The following is a 25,500-nucleotide window of genomic DNA, read 5'->3' on the forward strand; positions in this document are numbered from 1 at the left end:
AAGTCCCTCTCACTACAAACCCCTACATTCTGAGTAAAATATACTTCTTAGTACATTGTTAAGGTTATAAAAAGAAAGGGAAATCTCTAAGCTCACCCCCAAAATATTTATGAGTAGAAACCAGAGCTGTGATCTCAGACCAATGAGCCGACAGAAAAGGCAGGGTTGACCTTAGCTAAGCACTTCAGTAAAAGCAAGGTAAGGAACTCAGCCTCAGACTCTCATTGAGCCTGGATTTTCACAGAAAGAAAAGTGGTCCCAGAAGAGCCATGTCCTCTGGCTATAAATAAAAGCAAATTCAAGTAATCTTGCAGAAAAGCATTTCCAATTTCAACTCTAGAGATTTCCATAGATTAAGAACAAATAACTGTGAGCTCAAAACAAAAAAAAATAATAATAAAAAGCACAAGGATATGAGGTAACTTTTCTCTCTTGGTTTTTCTTAATGGTTTTTGGATGTTAAGAAAGACTACTTAAATCAAAATCATTTTTTCCCTGTTTTTCTTCTGTCCATAGCTAGACTGAAGTTGCCAGCCGTCCCCCTAGTAGTTAGTTATGGCCTTGTGACTAAGTTCTAGCCCCTATAACGTGAGCAGAAGCAATTTATACAACCTCTGGGCCTTCCATATGCCCTCCTCCATGTTCTTTCTTCCTCTAGCAGACACTGATACCAATAACAAGATGACCTTAAAAGCCATTAAATATAGATAACAAAGGCTCCATTTCCACTTTCCTGACAAGTGATCATGTTGGGACAGAGCAGGGAGTCTTCACAATACCTACTCAGCAGATGGATGTGACCAATGGGTAAGGTTCATTCTTCCCTTGGGGAACCTTCATTGTGTTTATTCTTCCCATACTCCCTCATTATCAGACCGTAAGGATCTGTTCCTGTTCCTGTACCTGATGCAGAACAGTGATGGTTTCGAAGATATCTGAACATTTGGCTGGATGGGGTGGCTCTTCAGGACAGAGTGAATATGTTCTAAATGAAGCAAGAAAAGCATGCATAGATTCTGTTGGTTAGAGCTCTGGCAAAGACTGCTAGCTGTCCACTAAAATCTCTCACTTATCTTCTTGAGCATGCAGTAAATTGGCCCTTCCCAGCATCCCTGGCCATGTGGCCTTGTGACTAAGTTCCCACCCCATGGGATATGAACAGAGGTTAGGCATGCCACCTGCTGGCCTGACCTATAATAACTTCCTACATGCACTTGTCCTCTTTCTCTCTTCTGGTTAACCTGGATAGAGAAAAATCCCAGGGTGAATTTGAAAACTACTTGTTGAAAATGGTACATCTATCATTAAGCAGAGCTGCCACAGACTGGGAACCTCTACCGCCGATCTGGGGACTGTGACAAAAAAGAAATACTGTACATTTTTTTTTCCTTTCTTTTAGCTAACAAAATAGTTTTGTTGATTAAAGTTGTTTAGCTTTCTCTATTGCATACAAATTTCTTACCTAAGCTTATTATGTGTTATATTTTAGTGGAACTCAAGTTTCAAGATTGTTTGCTTGTATTCTAGCTTACAATTTAAATGCCTTACATTTGTATATTACTCTTACATTTCATAAATTCTATTTTATTTGATGTATACCATAACCCTCTGAGATAGGCATGAATTAACATCTATATTTTAATATGTGTTCATTATAATACATGTTTAAATAACTCAGAAATCTACATAAAAGCATATCACCAGTCAGAGAGATAGATATGCTATCATCAGATAGCATGCAAATGTTTGACCATACATTTTTAATAAAGTGAAGCCAAATGCATGTAATTAATTCTATGTGTACTTTTACTTAACAATACATTTTTTTCAATATTAATATTCTATTCCATCATTGGAATGCTTAGTATCCTAAAAATGTAATCACAAACATTTGTATACATACATCTTTATTAGCTTATCTACTTATTGTTTCTTTACGCTATCACAAAATTGTACGGTCAAATGGCATGTTTACAGCTGTGATGTACATTGCCAAATTGTTCTGTAAAAAGGCATGAGTCAAAAGTTCTAACAATGTTTGCTATATTTCCTTATTCCATTTCTAATACTAGAAATTATTAATCATTTTAATACTTGGCAATTGTTAGAAGATAATAATACTTCTTTTTTACTGTGAATGTTTACTATTAGTAATTCTGAATATTATTTCTTTTTCATAGGCAATTTATACTTACTTTTAAAATTAATTTCCTAATATTCCCAAATTTCTTTAGCTTTTTTATTTCTATAAATTCATTTGGTTTGATTAGTTTACTGTAGTTCTGTATATTTTAAGAATAATAAAATCTTTGCGTTTTGCATATCACAGATTTCATCTTTGACTTACATAAAAGAAAGTAAGGTTTAAAGAGGTTAATTGACATGTCTAACATATATGCTGCAAAATCATGACTCTATGCTAGGTGTTCTGACGCATGTTTTGTTTTTAATTAACCTTCGTCATCACCTTTCTTATAAAGAGGCAACTAGAAATAAGGTAAATAGATGAGAGAATGATTGCACTTTGAATATGTGTTCCTTTGAAAATATTCTTAGTGTATTTATTCAAGTAGAATTTATTCTACTCCATAGGAAACTAATCTTTCTTGCTTTTTCCTGAAGACCTGATATAATTCCTGGCACATAGTAGGTACTTTACAAATATTTGTGAATGGGTGAATGAATGTACTGTATCCTGTGGTGACAGAAAAATGAGTCACAATCTCTGAATTAAAATAACTCTCGATCTTGTGGAGGTGAGAAAACAGACAAAATAGCACAAAATAGAAATAGGCATAGGATGCATCTGATGTCTAAGTAAATATTAGAAACAAAGACTCCTTAATCCTCTTCCTCAAATATATTAGCTAGGAGCACATTATCTTATAATGTGACTTGTTTCTTCTTTTTTTAGTGAGAAGTCATGAGGGAATGGAAACCATACTGGTATTGGGGCTTTGGATTCAGATATACTTGGGCTTATGATCAGCTTTACCACATTACCATGTTCTATCTAAATAATCCTGGATGGAGTAGTCTCTGTGAATCTAAATTTCTTTACCTGTAAATGTCATTAAAATGTCTAAATCCTCAACAACTGGGGGGGTGTCTAACTGACAATATATATAAAGTGCTTAGCTCTTACAAGGTACTCTAGAGGCATTGGCTCTTTTCAATGTTCCTCAGATAAACTATCTTATAAGTTATACAATATTAAAGATTATTTACCATTTTATGCCCGTGATCATAGCCTTTTGAAATCCATTAATAGTTTATTATCCAAATTTAATCTTCATAATTAGCAGAGCTTTGGACAATCAGCAGCATACTTTTACCATGACACTGTGTACCCCTGTCTTAAACAGAATAATTTAGAGGAAGATATTATGTACTGAGAGTTTAAATTATTTATTTATTATTTATTTATTTATTATTATTATTTTTGAAATGGAGTTTCGCTCTTGTTGCCCAGGCTGGAGTGCAATGGCACGACTTGGCTCACCGCAACCTTCACCTCTCAGGTTCAAGCAATTCTCCTGCCTCAGCCTCCCGAGTAGCTGGGATTACAGGCATGCACCACCAAGCCCAGCTAATTTTGTATTTTTAGTAGAGACAGGGTTTCTCCATATTGGTCAGGCTGGTCTTGAACTCCCGACCTCAGGTGATCTGCCCACCTTGGCCTCCCAAAGTGCTGGGATTACAAGTGTGAGCCACCGCGCCTGGCCAAGAGTTTAAATTCTTAAAAACATAAATATACATATGACACAAACTTTTAAGTTTCCCAGAACATAGAAAACACCAAGTAATAATATAAAATACTGATATGCTGTTTATTTAAGAGAAATTATATGTAAATGCTGAAGAGATGACTTTTAATAAAGATTATATGGTATTACACTGCCTGTTCTTAGACCATAATTTTATTTTCCAAGTGGGTGTTAGACACATATTATTGATCAGGGCATGCTATTCAGAATAAGTAATAATTGGCAATTCACTGAAGCTTGTGTGTGTGTTGAAATTTTATGCACTTCCCTGCTGTGGGAGTGTGACAAGGATAGCCCTTGGGAGCCAATGTTCACATTCCCCAAGATGTAATTCTTCTCACTCACGAGGAACTACCCTCCTTCCCACTTTGGTACTGAATAATGACCAATTCTTTTCTAATTTCTGTCATTTTTCCAGGAAACTTTGGACTAACCTGATTTATGTTATGTTCAATTACTTGTGATTCATGTTGCAATATTGAAAACGGGAATTTTATCAGCTTTAGATAAAAGATGTAGAGAGTACATCGAGTGTTCCTGAAATCACTAAATAGCTTACTAATTTTGTGGTAGAGGAAATAAAGATAATGCTTTTTTTAAAAAGCATGTAACTCATTATCTTAAACTGAGCTGGTCTTATCAAATTTTCTATATTCATTTTTTCTTAAGCTTCACAAGTCTTAATTTTCAAATTATTTGCTTCTTTACTAAAGGAAAGTTGTTCTGGATTTCTTTCTCTGCTATGATATGGTTAAAAGAGTTACAGTGGGATCTAGTACTTATGAAATATTTTAAAAATTGTGTTTACCAATATAAAAGCATGATATGCTGTCTTCATACTTTGAAATATTATTCTTTAGGAAATTTCATTTTTTGGTTTAAACAAACTTCATTGACAATAACCTTAATACCTCAAATTTGTGATGATTACGCCGATGTTGATGAAGGAAGAAAAGATTATGAAACTGTCCTTCAAAAAAAAGCTTAAAAATTTCTTATTACCCTTTTATTTGAAGTCTGTAAAATGCATTCCTTTAATGATATAAAATTTAAAAAAATCTCAATTATTGAAGCAAATGACCAGCTTTCTTCTTTTCCGGTAAAGACAAAGTATCAGAAATAAGGTAGAATGAAAGGGTTTTTCTTCCTCTATCACCAACAAACACAGTACAAAAGTTATAAACAAGTAATAAATCATAATGTAGTCAATCAGGGCAGCACAGGGACCATGTGTCACATGTAAATGTTTTTTCTCTGTTACTAAAATAAAAATCTTGTCCAGTTTTCTCTGTAATGTAAGAATTAGCTTTCCCTCCTTCTATTTGTCTTTCCTACATTTAACTTGAGTTAGATATTTTTGTTTGTTTGTTTGTTTGTTTGTTTTTTGAGCTAAAAGAGGTAGATAAGGTAGGTAGATATGGAAAAGCTCCAGATCTCAATTCATAGTGGTTGTCTTGTCCTGGGTACTACCCAGAGGAAGTGGAACAATGGGACTTTTGAAAACTTGTACAAACTATCAAAAATCAAGCACAAAGAGAAATATAACAAAAATTGAGAATGGAGTCTCAAGTGGTCTACCATGTATGAAATTTAAGTTCCATGTATGAAATAAAGAGTGGGAGAAAGGGAGTTTCTTTCTACATTGTTTCTACATTGTTTCTACAATTGTTTCTACATTGTTTCATTTGTAGAAACAATGAACAGCTGAAAAACTTCCAATTTTTATTAAAACTGTAAGCCCTCAGATCCAAGAAGTAGAATAAATATCAACAAGAACAAACAGAATAAATAGCATACCCGAATATAATGTAATCAAATTTATGACAACCTCTTAGTCATAAAAAGAAAATATTAAAAGCATTCAGAGAAAAAAAAACTACATTACAAACAAAATAACAATCATAGACTTCACATCATAAAACATGCAAGCCAGAAGGCATAATATCTATCATTAAAGCACTGAAAGATATTGTTAACCTATAATTCTATTTCCTGCAGTTCTTACAAAGTATAATATAGTCTTACCATTAATCCAGAAATTGTACTTGTAGATTTTTTGTTTGTTTGTTTGTTTTCTTTTCTTTTAGACGGAGTCTCGCTCTTGGCCCAGGCTGGAGTGCAGAGGCGCGATCTCGTTTTACTGCAAACTCCGCCTCCTGGGTTCAAGCGATTCTCGTGCCTCAGCCTACCAAGTAGCTGGGATTACAGGCGTGTGCCACCACGCTCAGCTAATTTTTGTATTTTTAGTAGAGAAGGAGTTTTACCATGTTGGTCAGGCTGGTCTTGAACTCCTGACATCAAGTGATTCACTCGCCTCGGCCTCCCAAAATACTTGTAAATTTTTTGTGGAAAATTTATCTCCACATAAAAATCTCACAAATGTTTATAGCAGCTTTATTGATAGTTTCCCAAACCTGGTAGCCACTGAGATATTCTTCAATAAATGAACCAATCAACAAACTGTGGTGTATACATAGAATGGAATATTATTCAGTGATAAAAAACAGAAATGCATTATCAAGCCATGAAAGAACATGCAGGAACCTTAAATGCATATTGCTAAATGACATCAAATCAACCTGAAAAGGCTACACACTGTATCACTCCATCTATATATCTAATATTCTGGAAAAGGCAAAACTATAGGAAGAGTAAAAAGATATATGGTTGTCAGGGCAGTGGTGGTGGGCTAGGGATGAGTATTAAAGAATCCCAGGGAATGCATAGAGTGGTAAAATTAATCTGTGTGATACAGTACTGATAGATAAATAATATTATGCATTTGTCAAACAATGTAGAACTGTACAACACAAAGAGCAAACCTTAATATTACCTATTGGCTTTAGTTAGTGATAATATATCAATATTGGTTTGTTAATTATAATAAATGTACCTCACTAATATAAGATATTACCATTAGGACAAACTATGTATGTTTGGGGTAAGGGTGTATATGGTAACTCTGAACAGTCTGCTTTTAAATTAAAGAATTAAAAAAATAAATGAGAGTGGAAGTTATAGGTTCACTGTGCTAATAGGAAGGTAAGGATTATGACTTCCTTTAGAATTTAGTAAAACTTTTTCATAAATCCACTTGAGTGCTATTTCTTATATATATTTTGATTATAGATAGAAGATCTTTAACAATCATTGATCTATTAAAATTTTCCATTACAAATAGAAATTTTTGGTAATCTACACTTCTTCTAAAAAACAATACAAAAAAACTCCTCCTCTTTGGAAGCCCACCATAAAGAAAATGAGTCAAGCCACAGACAAAGTTATTTAATACAACTTTTTGTATTAAATAACTTGTTTCCAGAATATATAAAAAAGTACAAACAACCCAGATTTTTAAAAAATGGACGAAAATTTAAACAAATACTTTAAAAAAATACACAAGAGGCCAAAAAGCATGAAAAAGCACTAACATCATTACTCACATCAATTAAAATTAAAGCCAAAAGTGAGAGGCCACTGCGTGCCCATTAGAACAGCTAAAATTAAACTTGACAACACCAAGTTTTGATGAAGATGTTCAACAATTGTAATATTCATACATTTTATATGGTAATATATAATGACACAGTCTCTAGACACAGTTGGCAGTTTCTTGCAAGTTACCATATGACTCCACAATTCTACTCCTAGATTCTTCCCAATAGAAATTACAGCATAAGTCCATACAAAGGTTTTCCATGAATATTTGTGCTACCTTTTTCATCATAGTCAAGTGCTGGAAGTGACTCAAATGTTCATCAACAAGTGAATAAATAAACCATAATAAAATTTTAATCATCCATAACAAGGAGAAATTATTAACATATACAGTAACATAGATAAATCTCAAAAACTGAATGCTGAGCCAGACACAAAAGAATACATATAGTTCAATTTACATGAAACTTACAGGAAGGCAAAACTATTTTTCATAATAAAGAACATATTAGTGGTTAACTGAGTCCAGAAGAAGGGATTGATTGGCAAGGGGCACATAAAATCTTTTAGGATGGTTTTGGTGAGAGTTACACAAGTGTATTCTTTGTTAAAACTTGTCAAACTTTGCACTTACGCTGAGTTCATTTAATTGCATGCTAATTAGACCTTAATACATTTAATTTGACATAGGCAATTAACAGTATTATTTACATCTTAGATTGGTAATAAAAGGTTTAACAATAAATAGCAATATCATAATATGGGAAAACAAACACTTTAACACATTAATGCAGATTGTTGTATGGAGGACTATTTAGCAATATCTATCAAGTTAGCTCAGTCTTCATTTTATTCTAAGAACAGATAATGAAGTTTCAGATATACTTTGTATGAACTTTGTATATACAAGAATGAAATTTACAGTTATAGCTCTAAAAGATATTTTAATCTAATAGGGATATTTTTAAAAAGTTAGGAATAGTCTTGTACATAGAAAGTAGTGGCTGAATGAAAACAGAACCAGCACATGAAGCTTCAGCTTTGAAATTTGGAGTGCTCCAGCTATTAGAAAGTAAGATGATTTCTGAAGATATAGATGTAGATGTAGGGAATTAATGACCTATTATTGGGTCATCCTTTTTCACCTGAGCTCTGACTTTTCATAAAGAGTAACAGCTAACATGTATAGAGTGATTACTTGAAACAGGCACCACACATTGATTTAAATGCATTTTTATCTCACTCAACTTTCACAGCTCTAAAAAATACTCACTATATTCTTATACATACCTATTTTATGCATGAGAAGTAGAAGCTCAACTAAATTCTATAACAAGTCTAAGAAATCACACTTATACAAGTGGTAGAGCTGTCATTCAAAGCTAGGATGTTTAAGCCTAAAGCCACTGCCCCTAAGATGATGGCTCATTGCTATAATTTCTCATCTTAAATGATCAGACATGCCGACTTGAGAGGAGAGGTGAAATAATTCAATGATGAATTAATGATTATTGATGTTAGGGAAAACAGTTTCTGTAAGTCGTGTACTTCTAGTAAGGCCATATTTATATCTCTAGAATTTAATATGGGAACTAATATGATAAAGCCACATTAACTGTTTTGGGGAATTGTGTTTACGATTGCATTTAGTTTTCCTTCTTTATGTTCTTGTCCCAGTGTTTCCTCTAAATTGACACTGATTAAAAATCTTAACTGATACTTCCAGATGAAACCCTATCTCTAAAGGCATAAAACTAATAATCTTTATTAGATTACTAAAATAAAATTTGTATTGAATTTCCAATTTGAGTTATATTCAAATTAGGTACACTTCATTCAAGGTCTATTTCAACTGTTTTGGATTTTCTGGCTTTATAATATTTCCATTATCCATAATTTTTATGGTTTTTTATAATCCAAAAACCAAAGAGTCCCAAAGTAGAGAAAATTTATTTTGCTAGTTATGAAGATTTAACATATTTATATACTTTTCTCTAAACTGGTATTAAAAAGTAGAATACCAAATATATTGATAATAGGCAAGAGACTTGGAAGTTGAGAGAAAATTTTTAAATTATTTTGTTATGCAGTGCTTAACAAATAATTAAATTATATCAGAGACTTTGAAACACTGATTACCTCACTTAGACTTGTACAATATTTAATCTATTAAGACTTCTTTTGTATTATTATACTTTAATTTCTAGGGTACATGTGCGCAACATGCAGGTTTGTTACATATGTATACATATGCCATGTTGGTGTGCTGCACCCATTATCTCATCATTTACATTAGGTATATCTCCTAATGCTATCACTCCCCTCTCCCGCCACCCCACAACAGGCCCCGGTGTGTGATGTTCCCCTTCCTGTGTCCAAATCCTATTGTTCAATTCCCACCTATGAGTGAGAACATGCGGTGTGTGCTTTTTGGTCCTTGCGATAGTTTGCTGAGAATGATGGTTTCCAGCTTCATCCATGTCCCTACAGAGGACATGAACTCATCATTTTTTATGGCTGCATTGTATTCCATGGTGTATATGTGCCACATTTTCTTAATCCAGTCTATCACTGATGGACATTTGGGTTGGTTCCAAGTCTTTGCTATTGTGAATAGTGCCACAATAAATATACGTATGCATGTGTCTTTATAACAGCATGATTTATAATCCTTTGGGTATATACCCAGTAATGGGATGGCTGGGTCAAATGGTATTTCTAGTTCTAGATCCTTGAGGAATCACCACACTGTCTTCCACAATGGTTGAACTAGTTTACAGTCCCACCAATAGTGTAAAAGTGTTCCTATTTCTCCACATCCTCTCCAGCATCTGTTGTTTCCTGACTTTTTAATGATTGCCATTCTAACTGGTGTGAGATGGTATCTCATTGTGGATTTGATTTGCATTTCTCTGATGGCCGGTGATGATGAGCATTTTTTCATGTGTCTGTTGGCTGCATAAATGTCTTCTTTTGAGAAGTATCTGTTCATATCGTTTGCCCACTTTGTGATGGGGTTGTTTTTGTCTTGTAAATTTGTTTGAGTTCATTGTAGATTCTGGATATTAGCCCTTTGTCAGAAGAGTAGATAGCAAAAATTTTCTCCCATTCTGTAGGTTGCCTATTCACTCTGATGGTAGTTTCTTTTGCTGTGCAGAAGCTCTTTAGTTTAATTAGATCCCATTTGTCAATTTTGGCTTTTGTTGCCATTGCTTTTGGTGTTTTAGACATGAAGTCCTTACCCATGCCTATGTCCTGAATGGTATTGCCTAGGTTTTCTTCTGGCATTTTTATGGTTTTAGGTCTCACATTTAAGTCTTTAATCCATCTTGAATTAATTTTTGTGTAAGGTGTAAAGAAGGGATCCAGTTTCAGCTTTCTACATATGGCTAGCCAGTTTTCCCAGCACCATTTATTAAATAGGGAATCCCTTCCCCATTTCTTGTTTCTGTCAAGGTTGTAGATTTGTGGTATTATTTCTGAGGGCTCTGTTCTGTTCTATTGGTCTATATCTCTGTTTTGGTACCAGTACCATGCTGTTTTGGTTACTGTAGCCTTTTAGTATAGTTTGAAGTCAGGTAGTGTGATGCCTCCAGCTTTGTTCTTTTGGCTTAGGATTGTCTTGGCAATGTGGGCCCTTTTTTGGTTCCATATGGACTTTAAAGTAGTTTTTCCCGATTTTGTGAAGAAAGTCATTGGTAGCTTGATGGGGATGGCATTGAAACTATAAATTACCTTGGGCAGTATGGCCATTTTCACGATATTGATTCTTCCTATCCGTGAGCATGGGACGTTCTTCCATTTGTTTGTGTCCTCTTTTATTTCATTGAGCAGTGGTTTGTAGTTCTCCTTGAAGAGGTCCTTCACGTCCCTTGTAAGTTGGATTCCTAGATATTTTATTCTCTTTGAAGCAATTGTGAATGTGAGTTCACTCATGATTTGGCTCTCTGCTTGTCTCTAATTGGTGTATAAGAATGCTTGTGATTTTTGCACATTGATTTTGTATCCTGAGACTTTGCTGAAGTTGCTTATCAGCTTAAGGAGATTTGGGGCTGAGACAGTGGGGTTTTCTAAATATACAATCATGTCATCTGTAAACAGGGACAATTTGACTTCCTCTTTTCCTAATTGAATACCCTTTATTTCTTTCTCCTGCCTGACTGCCCTGGCCAGAACTTCCAACACTATGTTGAATAGGAGTGGTGAGAGAGGGCATCCCTGTCTTGAGTCAGTTTTCAAAGGGAATGCTTCCAGTTTTTGCCCATTCAGTATGATATTGGCTGTGGGTTTGTCATAAACAGCTCTTATTATTTTGACATACGTCCCATGAATACCTAATATATTGAGAGTTTTTAGCATAAAGAGCTGTTGAATTTTGTCAAAGGCCTTTTCTGCATATATTGAGACAATCATGTGGTTTTTGTCTTTGGTTCTGTTTATATGATGGATTACGTGTATTGATTTGCATATGTTGAACCAGCCTTGCATCCCAGGGATGAAGCCCACTTGATCATGGTGGATAAACTTTTTGATGTGCTGCTGGATTCACTTTTCCAGTATTTTATTGAGGATTTTTGCATCGATGTTCATCAGGGATATTGGTCTTAAATACTCTTTTTTTTTTGTTGCGTCTCTGCCAGGCTTTGGCATCAGGATGATGCTGGCCTCATAAAATGATTTAGGGAGGATTCCCTCTTTTTGTATTGATTGCAGTAGTTTCAGAAGGAATGGTACCAGCTCTTCCTTGTCCCTATGGTAGAATTCCGCTGTGAATTCATCTGGTCCTGGACTTTTTTTGGTTGGTAGGCTATTAATTATTGCCTCAATTTCAGAGCCTGTTATTGGTGTATTCAGGGATTCAACTTCTTCCTGGTTTAGTCTTGGGAGGGTGTATGTGTCCAGGAATTTATCCATTTCTTCTAGGTTTTCTACTTTATTTGCATAGAGGTGTTTATAGTATTCTCTGATGTAGTTTGTATTTCTGTGGGATCGGTAGTGATATCCCCTTTATCATTTTTTATTGCGTCTATTTGATCCTTCTCTCTTTTATTCTTTATTAGTTTTGCTAGCAGTCTGTCACTTTTGTTGATCTTTTCATAAAACCAGCTCCTGGATTCATTGATTTTTTGAGGGGTTTTTTGTGTCTCTATCTCCTTCAATTCTACTCTGATCTTAGTTATTTCTTACCTTCTGCTAGCTTTTGAATGTGTTTGCTCTTGCTTCTCTAGTTCTTTTAATTGTGATGTTAGGGTGTCAATTTTAGATCTTTCCTGCTTTCTCTTGTGGGCATTTAGCACTATAAATTTCCCTCTACACACTGCTTTAAATGTATCCCAAAGATTCTGTTATGTTGTGTCTTTGTTCTCATTGGTTTCAAAGAACATCTTTATTTCTGCCTTCATTTCGTTATGTACCCAGTAGTCATTCAGGAGCAAGTTGTTCAGTTTCCATGTAGTTGAGCGGTTTTGAGTGAGATTCTTAATCCTGAGTTCTTGTTTGAGTGCACTGTGGTCTGAGAGACAGTTTGTTATAATTTCTTTTCTTTTACATTTGCTGAGGAGTGCTATACTTCCAACTATGTGGTCAATTTTCGAATAAGTGTGATGTGGTGCTGAGAAGAATGTATATTCTGTTGATTTGGGGTGGAGAGTTCTGTAGATGTCTATTAGGTCCACTTGGTGCAGAGCTGAGTTCAATTCCTGGATATCCTTGTTCACTTTCTGTCTCGTTGATCTGTCTAATGTTGACAGTAGGGTGTTAAAGTCTCCCATTATTATTGTGTGGGAGTCTAAGTCTCTTTGTAGTCTCTAAGGTCTTGCTTTATGAATCTGGTTGCTCCTGTATTGGGTGCATATATGTTTAGGATAGTTAGCTCTTCTTGTTAAATTGATCCCTTTACCATTATGTAGTGACCTTCTTTGTCTCTTTTGATCTTTGTTGGTTTAAAGTCTGTTTTATCAGAGACTAGGATTGCAATCCCTGCCTTTTTTGTTTTCCATTTGCTTGGTAGATCTTCCTCCATCCTTTTATTTTGAGCCTATGTGTGTCTTTGCATGTGAGACAGGTTTCCTGAATACAGCACACTGATGGGTCTTGACTCTCTATCCAATTTGCCAGTCTGTGTCTTTTAATTGGAGCATTTAGCCCATTTACATTTAAGGTTAATATTGTTATGTGTGAATTTGATCCTGTCATTATAATGTTAGCTGGTTATTTTGCTCATTAGTCGATGCAGTTTCTTCCTAGCCTCAATGGTCTTTACAATTTGGCATGTTTTTGCAGTGGCTGGTACTGGTTTTTCCTTTCCATGTTTAGTGCTTCCTTCAGGAGCTCTTTTAGGGCAGGCCTGGTGGTGACAAAATCTCTCAGCATTGGCTAGTCTGTAAAGGATTTTATTTCTCCTTCACTTATGTAGCTTAGTTTGGCTGGATATGAAATGCTGGGTTGAAAATTCTTTCCTTTAGGAATGTTGAATATTGGCCCCCCTCTCTTCTGGCTTGTAGGGTTTCTGCCGAGAGATCTGCTGTTAGTCTGATGGGCTTCCCTTTGTGGGTAACCCAACCTATCTCTCTGGCTGCTCTTGACATTTTTTCTTTCATTTCAACTTTGGTGAATCTGACAATTATGTGTCTTGGAGTTGCTCTTCTCGAGGAGTATCTTTGTGGCGTTCTCTGTATTTCCTGAATTTGAATGTTGGCCTGCCTTGCTAGGTTGGGGAAGTTCTCCTGGATAATATCCTGCAGAGTGTTTTCCAACTTGGTTCCATTCTCCCCGTCACTTTCAGGTACACCAATCAGATGTAGATTTGGTCTTTTCATATAGTCCCATATTTCTTGGAGGCTTTGTTCATTTCTTTTCACTCTTTTTTCTGTAAACTTCTCCTCTCACTTCATTTCATTCATTTGATCTTCAATCGCTGATACCCTTTCTTCCAGTTTATCGAATGAGCTACTGAAGCTTGTGCATTTGTCACGTAGTCCTTGTGCCATGTTTTTCAGCTCCATCAGGTCATTTAAGGACTTCTCCATATTGATTATTCTAGTTAGCCATTCATCTAATCTTTTTTCAAGGTTTTTAGCTTCTTTGCAATGGGTTCGAACTTCCTCCTTTAGCTCGGAGAAGTTTGATCATCTAAAACCTTCTTCTCTCAACTCGTCAAAGTCATTCTCCATCCAGCCTTGTTCCATTGCTGGCGAGGAGCTGCTTTCCTTTGGAGGGGGAGAGGCGCTCCGATTTTTAGAATTTTCAACTTTTCTGCTCTGTTTTTTCCGCATCTTTGTGGTTTTATCTACCTTTGGTCTTTGATGATGGTGACCTACAGATGGGGTTTTGGTGTGGATGTCCTTTCTGTTTGTCAGTTTTCCTTCTAGCAGTCAGGACCCTTAGCTGCAGGTCTGTTGGAGTTTGCTAAGACCATCGGAAAAATGCAGTATTAGGGTGGGAGTGACTTGATTTTCCAGGTGCCGTCTGTCACCCCTTTCCTTGTCTAGGAAAGGGAATTCCCTGACCCCTTGCGCTTCCCGGGTGAGGCAATGCCTCACCCTGCTTCAGCTCACGCTCAGTGGGCTGCATCCACTGTCCTGCCCCCACTGTCCGACAAGCCCCAGTGAGATGAACCCGGTACCTCAGTTGGAAATGCCGAAATCACCTGTCTTCTGCATCGCTCATACTGGGAGCTGTAGACTGGAGCCATTCCTATTCGGCCATCTTAGAACCTCTATTAAGATATTTTACTCAGTCTTTTTTTATTAGAAAAAGTGTAACAATTTTAATAAACCTTTTAGTTCAGATCTAATGAAGTGCATCACTAAAAGAATTCTTTTATTTAAAAAATGGTGTATTTCTTTTCTAAAAATTACTTTTCCCTCAACTTTTACTACTTTTAATCATGTTTTAAAAGAAATTTTGTATTTCTCATTAAATAAGATGTATGAAAAACTGTGATAAACAAGGTATCAGAAAAACCAGGCAAATTAAAACTGTCATTTGAATCATTTGGGAACTGTTAGGTTTCTAGATTCTTAAGAGTCTGCCCTAACTTCCTCTCTTTTCTTTACTGACCTCTGTCCACAAACAAATAAATGCAGTGAAACCCAAATCCATCCACTTTTTACAAGATTTTCATTTTCTTAGGCATTGCATCGCATTGCATTTCCTAGGCATGTCTAGTCACTTAACCTGTTCTGATGTGGGTGAACTCCTTAGAGAAGTATATCATTTTAACTAAAGTCTCATCATCAACACTCTTTGCTTTTCTCTACCGGACTCAGTGTCTTTGTTCTGACATCTGGTGGCACCAGCCTGGACTTTCTCTTCCTTTTGACTCCTCTTTCACAAATGGCTACAACTTGACTGACTTTCTTCCTTGCTTTTCCTTTTTCTGCTGAGTCTTCATGGCTATAGAACACATAGATGATTCAGACCTTCCAAACTACTCTGCCTCATAGTGTTTATCCAAATGCTGGACCTTCGTTGTTTTTTTGTTTTGTTTTGTTTTTTGAGATGGAGTCTTGCTCTGTCACCCAGCCTGGAGTGCAGTGGCGCGATCTCAGCTCACTGCAAGCTCCACCTCCTGGATTCATTTCATTCTCCTGCCTTAGCCTCCTGAGTAGCTGGGACTACAGGCACCTGCCACCATGCCCAGCTAATTTTTTGTAGTTTTACTAGAGATGGGGTTTCACTGTGTTAGCCAGGATGGTCGTTTCTGTTTTGATCACTGGACTTCCAGTTGTACCAAACTTTTCTGCCAATGTCCTTGCTTGGCTGCTTCCTTTGCCATTACTGACTGGGTTCATTCATTGTCTCTTTGGTCTTAAATATTACATTTTTGTACAAATCCTAGCAAAAGATTAAATTGGAAAATGACGGGTTGAAAAATAACAGTTATCGTAGATAAATGAAATTTCTTGTTTTCATAAATGAAATTCAGACTTTGGATGACAATGATGCTGCCTGAAATTATAGTTATTTCTTTCCCAATTGGAATGGTCAGATTCCTGGACATACCTTAAGGTAGGAAAACATAGTTGATAAATGTAAGAATTTATGATGAAAAAAATAACAGTAAGGGAGTAGACATCATAAATGAAAGCTTTTAGAGTATTAAAGTATTATTTATAATCATTAAAAAGATAGCACACAAAATCAATATAATGTTGGTGACATTTTACACATATCAGATGGCTAAAAACAATACCTACAAAATTACTTCCATTTATCATCTCTTGCTTTCTATAAAGCATAAAGATTTATTCTTCTAAAGTCTGCATGTGCTCCTAATAAAGTTGTTCCATTATTACATTGTTTTCTTAAATATTGGGAGGTTTCAATTTTTTTTTCTATACTTTTTGTCTAAATATCCAATGCTTGTACCAGCTCTAATCTTCCTTAGTAGGCACTTAAAGTGCCTTTATCAATAGTCCAGTGAGTCAGTATTAAGACAATTTTACTATTTCTTTTTATAAACTTATCCTCCAATTCAACAATAGGGTTTCCATAATACCTTAATTCTGTGATCACAGGCTTAAAAAAAAATCCCAGGTGTATGGATTGACTTTCTACCTTATTCCCCTTGTACATGATTCTGGACCTTTATAACCTGCTTATATCCTTTTATTTTCGAAATTTGGTCCTATCTTGCTTTCTCCAGGCTCTCCCTGAGCCTTCTTTTTGTTGTCATATGTCCTCTATGTCCTCGCCCCCCTTACTCCTTAGGTAATTGCCCATTATCTCCACCCAGACTCTGCAAATATTCCCCTCCTCACGATTATCTCTAAATGATATGGTTTGACTCTGTGTCCCCACCCAAATCTCACCTCAAATTGTAATCCCTACATGTTAGGGAGGGACCTGGTGGGAGGTGATTGTGGGTGGCTTCCCCCATGCTCTTCTCATGATAGTGAGTTCTCAGGAGATCTGATGGTTAAAAAGTGTGGTACTTCCTCCCTCATTCTCTCCTGCTGGCTCTTGAAGAAGTGCTTGCTTCCCCTTCCCCTTCTGCCATGATTGTAAGTTTCCTGAGGTCTCCCCAGCCATGAAGAACTGTGAGTTAATTAAAGCTCTTTTATTTATAAATTATCCAGTCTCACATAGCTCTTTATAACAATGTGAAAACGGACTAATACACTAATTCTATTACAACTCCCTTCCCATCTATTGGCAATGCACATAGTAGCGCCTTTAGATCACACTGGATTTAGCCTATGACCATGAGAGAATACCAGGCTTCAGATAAAGAGAAAATAGGATTTAAAATTGTAACTGTTTTGGCTTTCCAACATGCTCAAGAGGCAGGAGGTGACTCTGACTTTTCACTATATTCCAGTGAAGTGATAGCAGGTGTGAAAAAGAAAGGATGGATTCAATTTCTGTTTAGGACGTTACCTTGACAGAACTTGGTGATGGTTTCAATGAGGGAGAGGAAGAAGTTGAGGATGACACAGGTTTCTGGTTTGGGGAACTGGGCGGATACTGGCTCACCTCTTATTTAGAACGTGACTTCCTATTTAGTGTTACCCTCTGCTACTCTTGTATTACCTTTCTAAATCACATTTCTTGCATTTACTTTTTAAATCACATATTTCCTGCATTGAAACCTCCAATGGTTTCATACTTGCAGGATAAAATCTAAATTCTCTGTAACAACTGAGTTTCCTCACAATCCAGTGCTAAACATAATGTCCTACCCCACACATATCATTATACTATAACCAAATCACCTTCTGAGTATACACTCTCATATCTTTGTGCTTTTGAACATGGCCATCCTTCTGTCTGGAATATTCTCGCCACCATCACTGCTCCCTCTTCAAATCCTAGCCATCTTTCAAGGTCTAGTTCAAGCGTCACTCAGGTTGAAGTAGTGTCTCCATCATCTCCATCATGTTCTAATATTTCTGTGTGTAGAGTTTTATTATTGGTTTTCTGATATCACATCAAATTTTTTTTGCTTACATATCTCTATTATAACTTGATGTAATTAATTTGTAATTTTATTCTCAAAGGAAAATTTTAGAGCATTTTTAGGTCTACTAGTCCTGTACTATCATATGTTATTAGTGATTTCATATATACATCTAAATGGCTCATTCAAAATTTTCAAAAATTAAATATATAAATAGACTCATTGCAATAATGAAATTTATACAATTATTTATTGCCCTACTGTATTAAATTTTGGATGTTATTGTTTGCTAAATAGCATAGGGATAGAGTCACTGATCTGGCACATAGGGAGGACATTTTAAAGAGCAACCTCCAAGTAATAGGGACTCCTACCCCATTTTTTGTGGCTGGATTCTGAGAAATAAGCTTATCTGTGAATCTATAATAAGATATATTTGTAATAGGATTAATTTGCACCTGAAAGATGTGGAAGAAAGGGGGATTGAAACAAAAATTCATGTCTAAAAATATGCAAGGAGTCAAGAAGAGAAATGCGGAGTTTGTAACTGAGACAAGAAAATTGAAGCATGTAGCTTTAAAAAGGCAAACTTGAATTTGTGCTAGGAGAGATTTTTTCTGAAATTTCTGATGAAGGAAACTTAGAGAGTGTTTGCAATGCTCATGGATGGAGGAGAGTGAGCTGCTAAGAAAGTGATCATGCAGTTCATAAGAGGTCAAGGGTGACATATTTCTGTATCAGGAAGGAAGCTTCTTTCATTTCTAACAGCAAAGTGTGCTGTGACCATTAATCATGATGTTCAGTCAATTTCATGTTCCTGTGGCTTCGTAGAAGTACTCCCATTCTTTGGTAAAGAATAGTGGCTTATTACAATTACCCAGGTAAGAGGGGTAAGAGGTGGTGTTGAATTGGCCTAGAATGTGGCAAGAGCAAGTTAGATAAGTGGTTCAAGTAAAGAAATATTTGGCAGTTTTAATTCACATAAATTAGTGATTAATTGTATGTACGAATGTGTATGTGTGTATGACTATGTGTATATAGGTGTCTGTGTATATATATATACACAAATATATACATATATACACATATATACATATATACACATATATACATATATACACATATGTATACATATATAGACATATATACATATATACACATGTATACATATACACACATATATACATATATACACATATGTGTATATATGTATATATACACATATATGTATATATGTATATATACACATATATGTACGCATAGGTACACATATGTGTACATATATACACACATATATACATATATACACATATATACATATATACACATATATAATATATATTATATATACACACATATGTAATATATATTTACATATATATATCATTATATTTTTATATATTATTTATATATATATAAATAATATATAAATATATATATAATATAAATAATATATAAATATAATATAATAATATATAATATATAAAGTAAATATAATATAATAATATATATAATATTTATATATAAATATGTATATTATATATGTGTATATATAATATATAAATATGTATATTATATATGTGTATATATACTATATATTATATAGTATATATGTATTATATATTATATTGTATATATTATATACAATATAGTATATAATATATATAATATATGTATATATAATATACGTATAATATATGTATATATAATATACGTACAATATATGTATATATAATATACGTACAATATATGTATATATAATATACGTACAATATATGTATATATAATATACGTACAATATATGTATATATAATATACGTACAATATATGTATATATAATATACGTACAATATATGTATATATAATATACGTACAATATATGTATATATAATATACGTACAATATATGTATATATAATATACGTACAATATATGTATATATAATATACGTACAATATATGTATATATAATATACGTACAATATATGTATATATAATATACGTATAATATATGTATATATAATATACGTATAATATATGTATATATAATATACGTATAATATATGTATATATAATATACGTATAATATATGTATATATAATATACGTATAATATATGTATATATAATATACGTATAATATATGTATATATAATATACGTATAATATATGTATATATAATATACGTATAATATATGTATATATAATATACGTATAATATATGTATATATAATATACGTATAATATATGTATATATAATATACGTATAATATATGTATATATAATATACGTATAATATATGTATATATAATATACGTATAATATATGTATATATAATATACGTATAATATATGTATATATAATATACGTATAATATATGTATATATAATATACGTATAATATATGTATATATAATATACATATATGTGTATATATATTATATATTATATATGTATATATAATATACATATATGTGTATATATAATATACATATATGTGTATATATAATATATATATTATATATGTATATATAATATATATAATTATATATATATTTCCTCTTAATCACTGAAGTAATATGTACTCAAATCAGAAAATTTCAAATACAATGAAAAGCACAAAGATTAAGAGAAAACTCTGTAATGCCTTTCATATGCATTGTTAGAGTTTTGACATGTTTTCTTTTTTTCTATCACTCTTTTTGGGTATACAATTTTTTAAAAATATATATATTAAATACCATGTAGAATTTCAAACTGCTTCCAGAGCTTGCCTTCTTTTTCCCTCTTTACTTAGCTATCTCAAATATTTTCCTGCATCAGTAAGTATTCTTCCATTTATGGCATTTAGATTTTTCCATAAGTATAAAAATACTTTGAAATAAATAAAAATATCTGTAGAAAATTTAAACATTTTTCTTAAGGATTTAAGACACTCAAACCTTTATCGAATGAAGACAAAGATTATCAAATCTTTATCTGAGAGTCTGCTTTTTGAGTAATTCAATTTAAGATTTACTTTCTCTCTTCCTGTATCTCTAAACTTCTGTTAGCTATATCATTTCTGCATTGTTGGGCATGTTACTCACTTTTATTTTAGTCTTAGACTGACAGCTATAAACAGAGGCAATGCTTACCACTTTAATATTTCATTTATCTCTTAGTTGGCCAGAGTTAACATGCAACTAGTTTCTTCAAGCAGGTATCAGTGCAGCAATACTACCTAAGTGCTTTCATTTGGATAAATATGTATTTGTTGCCTTTATATTAAGAATGGTTTGGCTGTGTTGACATTTTTGAGTCAAAATTAAATGCATAGCTCCATGGTCTTGTGTTTAATATTGCTGAGGAAAGGTATGAGGGCAGCCTGATATTCTCCATCCCTTTTTATGTGTATTAGTCTTTAAAGAAACTTATCCTTGAAGTTTAAAAATTTTAAAATTTTATTACAAAACAATTAATTTTTATCAGTCTAAGACATGATATGCTATTTAAACATGTAGCTTCAACACTTCTTTGAAAGACAGAATTATTTATTTATTTATTTTTTGAGACAGAGTCCAGAGTCCTGCTCTGTTGTCCAGGCTGGAATGCAGTGGCCCGATCTCGGCTCACCACAACCGCTGCCTCCCAGGCTCAAGCAATTCTTGTGCCTCAGCCTCCTGAGAAGTTGGGATTACAGGCATGCACCACCATGCCCAGCTAATTTTTGTACTTTTAGTAGAGACAGGGTTTCACCATTTTGGCCAGGCTGGTCTCGAACTCTTGGCCTCAAGTGATCCAGCTGCCTGGGCCTCCCAAAGTACTGGGATTACAGGCGTGAACCCTGAACCTGGCCCAGAAATTTTTTATAAGTACTTATTTGGGTTTTTTTTGGTTAATTTAAATTTATTTATTTATTTTATATATAGATATATATTTTTATTATACTTTAAGTTCTAGGGTACATGCGCACAACATGCAGGTTTGTTACGTATGTATACATGTGCCATGTTGGTGTGCTGCACCCATTAACTCGTCATTTACATTAGGTATTTCTCCTAATGCTATCCCTTCCCCCTCCCCCCACCCCACAACAAGCCCCGGTGTGTGATGTTCCCCTTCCTGTGTCCAAGTGCTCTCATTGTTCAATTCCCACCTATGAGTGAGAACATGTGGTGTTTGGTTTTTTTTGTCCTTGCGATAGTTGGCTGAGAATGATGGTTTCCAGCTTCATCCATGTCCCTACAGAGGACATGAACTCATCATTTTTTATGGCTGCATTGTATTCCATGGTGTATATGTGCCACATTTTCTTAATCCAGTCTATCAATGTTGGACATTTGGGTTGGTCCAAGTCTTTACTATTGTGAATAGTGCCTCAATAAACATACGTGTGCATGTGTCTTTAGAGCAGCATGATTTATAATCCTTTGGGTATATACCCAGTAATGGGATGGCTGGGTCAAATGGTTTTTCTAGTTCTAGATCCTTGAGGAATCACCACACTGTCTTCCACAATGGTTGAACTAGTTTACAGTCCCACCAATAGTGTAAAAGTGTTCCTATTTCTCCACATCCTGTCCAGTACCTGTTGTTTCCTGACTTTTTAATGATCGCCATTCTAACTGGTGTGAGATGGTATCTCACTGTGGTTTTGATTTGCATTTCTCTGATGGCCGGTGATGATGAGCATTTTTTCATGTGTCTGTTGGCTGCATAAATGTCTTCTTTTGAGAAGTATCTGTTCTTGTCCTTCGTCCACTTTTTGATGGGGTTGTTTGTTTTTTCTTGTAAATTTGTTTGAGTTCATTGTAGATTCTGGATATTAGCCCTTTGTCAGAAGAGTAGATTGCAAAAATTTTCTCCCATTCTGTAGGTTGCCTGTTCACTCTGATGGTAGTTTCTTTTGCTGTGCAGAAGCTCTTTAGTTTAATTAGATCCCATTTGTCAATTTTGGCTTTTGTTGCCATTGCTTTTGGTGTTTTAGACATGAAGTCCTTACCCATGCCTATGTCCTGAATAGTATTGCCTAGGTCTTCTTCTAGCATTTTTATGGTTTTATGTCTAAGATTTAAGTCTTTAATCCATCTTGAATTAATTTTTGTGTAAGGTATAAGGAAGGCATCCAGTTTCAGCTTTCTACATATGGTTAGCCAGTTTTCCCAGCACCATTTGTTGAATAAGGAATCCTTTCCCCATTTCTTGTTTTTGTCAGGTTTGTCAAAGATCAGAGAGTTGTAGATGTGTGGTATTATTTCTGAGGGCTCTGTTCTGTTCTATTGGTCTATATCTCTGTTTTGGTACCAGTATCATGCTGTTTTGGTTACTGTAGCCTTGTAGTATAGTTTGAAGTCCGGTAGCATGATGCCTCCAGCTTTGTTCTTTAATTTACTTTGATTTTATTCCTTTGGAACTCCTCTCATGCCTGTATTTGAATATTTTTCTTGAAGCTTCCCTAACTAAATATTTTCTATTACATTTTGACTCTTTATTTCCATTCTGTTTATTTTACTTTTCTTAATTCAGTCCTAGATGTTTCTTATATATCTTCAACAGTTTCTCTTTTCGTTTTCTTTTATTTTTAAGACAAGGTCTTGCTGTCCCACTGTTGCCAAGGCTGGAGTACAGTGGTATGATCATAGCTCCTTTGCAGCCTCGAACTCCTTGGCTCAAGCAATCCTCCCTCCTCAACCTCCAATTAGCTGGGACTAAATGCACATGCCACCATGCCTGGCTAAGTTAATTTATTTTTATTTTTATTTTTATTTTTTATTTTTTGGTAGAGACAGGGTCTGGCTTTGCTGCCCAGGCTGGTCTTGAACTCCTGGCTTCAAGTGATCCTCCTGCCTTGGCCTTCCAAAGTGTTGGGATTATAGGCGTGAGCCACCGCACCCAGCCCAGATTCTCTTTCCTTTTATTGCTTTCAATTTTACTTTTATTTCCATTATGATTTGTCATTCTCCTCCTACCTCTTTTCTTAGCATGAACAACCTCATTTTATCTTTCCCTCATATCTTAATATCTCTTTTCTGGGGTTCTGTATCCATTCATTGTACTCTTAATATATAAGGGAGATATTAGGTGTCTGGAATATTAATGACAAGATATCTGGTTTCAATTTTCATTTTTTCCATGGCAATATTTTTCTAATGAGTGTTTGCCATCTGTCTTGCTTTCTGGTTCTTTCCTCCTTTTTTTCTCTTAATATTTTGTACTTACTCAGCTTCACATGACATGATTTTTCCCGTTTAAATATTTGAAGAATTTCACTTGAGGAGTGACTATAAATTCAGAAGTTTTCCACTTGCGCAATTCCCTAGAAGTTGAAGGAAACACTACTCAACATACTACTGGAAAATCTATCTAATATGTTATTAAAATCAATCCTTCTATGTGTTTTTGGCTTCCTCAGACATGCTGAATGTTGACAGAAGGACCACAAGATATGCTGATGGATCAGATGTGTAATGTGAGTTACCCCAAGGAACTATGTTCATGATAGTTTAATTCTCTAAGATAGAAAATTCTGAACGAGAAACAAGGAAACAACATTTTGTTGGGGGCTAATACAGAGTTTTCTTTTGAACATGGTAACAGGATGACAAAAAAGGGATTAACATCTTTATGTGGTTTTGATGTATTGGAAATTGAAAAATACAAAACACATTGATACACATAAGCTTATTAAAATTCAAGAACAGTGCAAAATATAAAAAAATACATAAACTGTCACAATGTAGAAGTGTTCAAATTTCAAATGTGCAGATCAAAAAATAATGGAGAGACATAAGGAAAAATGTTTCTTTGACTGGATAGCATGGTAAGTTTCTTTTGATTATTGCTGTTCTTTCTGGCCCAAACGGTCTGGTTGCCAAGGTGGCCAGCATTCAATTACTGGCTTTCTACTGGGGTACTTGTGTGGACACTTTGGAAACCCTTATGTGAGGTCTCCCAACAGTACAGTTCCTTGATGAGAGATATTTGGCTTTGGCTTCAACTCTTCCACAAGCTCTCACCCCCAGCTTCAGTTACAGATGGTCCACCTATAGTCATTCATTATTGAGTTCTATCACCTAGTGGGCAACTTTCTTGAAGGGTAATGAAACAATGGTTTGAGCTCCACTCAGATCCTTGACATCCTCTCAACTTTTGCAAAATTTTGCTTGTATAATAAACAGATGGAACTCAGGATGCTTCCTTGTCACCTCTTTTTGACTCTGCCTCTTCTGATGCCTTATCCCAGAAGCATTAGTCACTCTGCAGGTTGACTGATGTGCCACATTTCAGAGGGAAGATAACCACTCTCCTTGACCTAGTAGAGGATGGAAGTGATTGAGGTTTTCACGTAATTTCGGGTAAGAAAGAGCCCCACGGGAAAAAGTAAGGGGAGGAAATACTGTTCTCCCTCTCAGTTC

General features: G+C 34.6%; 1 long non-coding RNA gene across 1 annotated transcript in view, besides 1 other annotated feature; it reads left to right on the forward strand.

The window, feature by feature from the left end:
* Positions 1-24,753, forward strand: part of LOC107986297 (uncharacterized) — a 64,842-nt gene extending 40,089 nt beyond the window's left edge. The window contains exon 3 of the long non-coding RNA XR_001741778.1: positions 24,498-24,753. This is a non-coding gene — a long non-coding RNA (uncharacterized LOC107986297). The remainder of the gene's footprint in view (positions 1-24,497) is intronic.
* Positions 1,077-1,371: a silencer, noted in NCBI's record as "tiled region #13477; HepG2 Repressive non-DNase unmatched - State 12:CtcfO, and K562 Repressive DNase matched - State 13:Ctcf". NCBI's record gives its function as "represses a minimal TATA promoter and a strong SV40 promoter by Sharpr-MPRA in HepG2 and K562 cells {active_cell/tissue: HepG2 | K562}" and the evidence as "EXISTENCE:reporter gene assay evidence [ECO:0000049][PMID:27701403]".
* Positions 24,754-25,500: the final 747 nt, after the last annotated feature.

The sequence above is a fragment of the Homo sapiens genome, chromosome 4 (assembly GCF_000001405.40).
Source record: "Homo sapiens chromosome 4, GRCh38.p14 Primary Assembly".
NCBI lineage: Eukaryota > Metazoa > Chordata > Mammalia > Primates > Hominidae > Homo > Homo sapiens.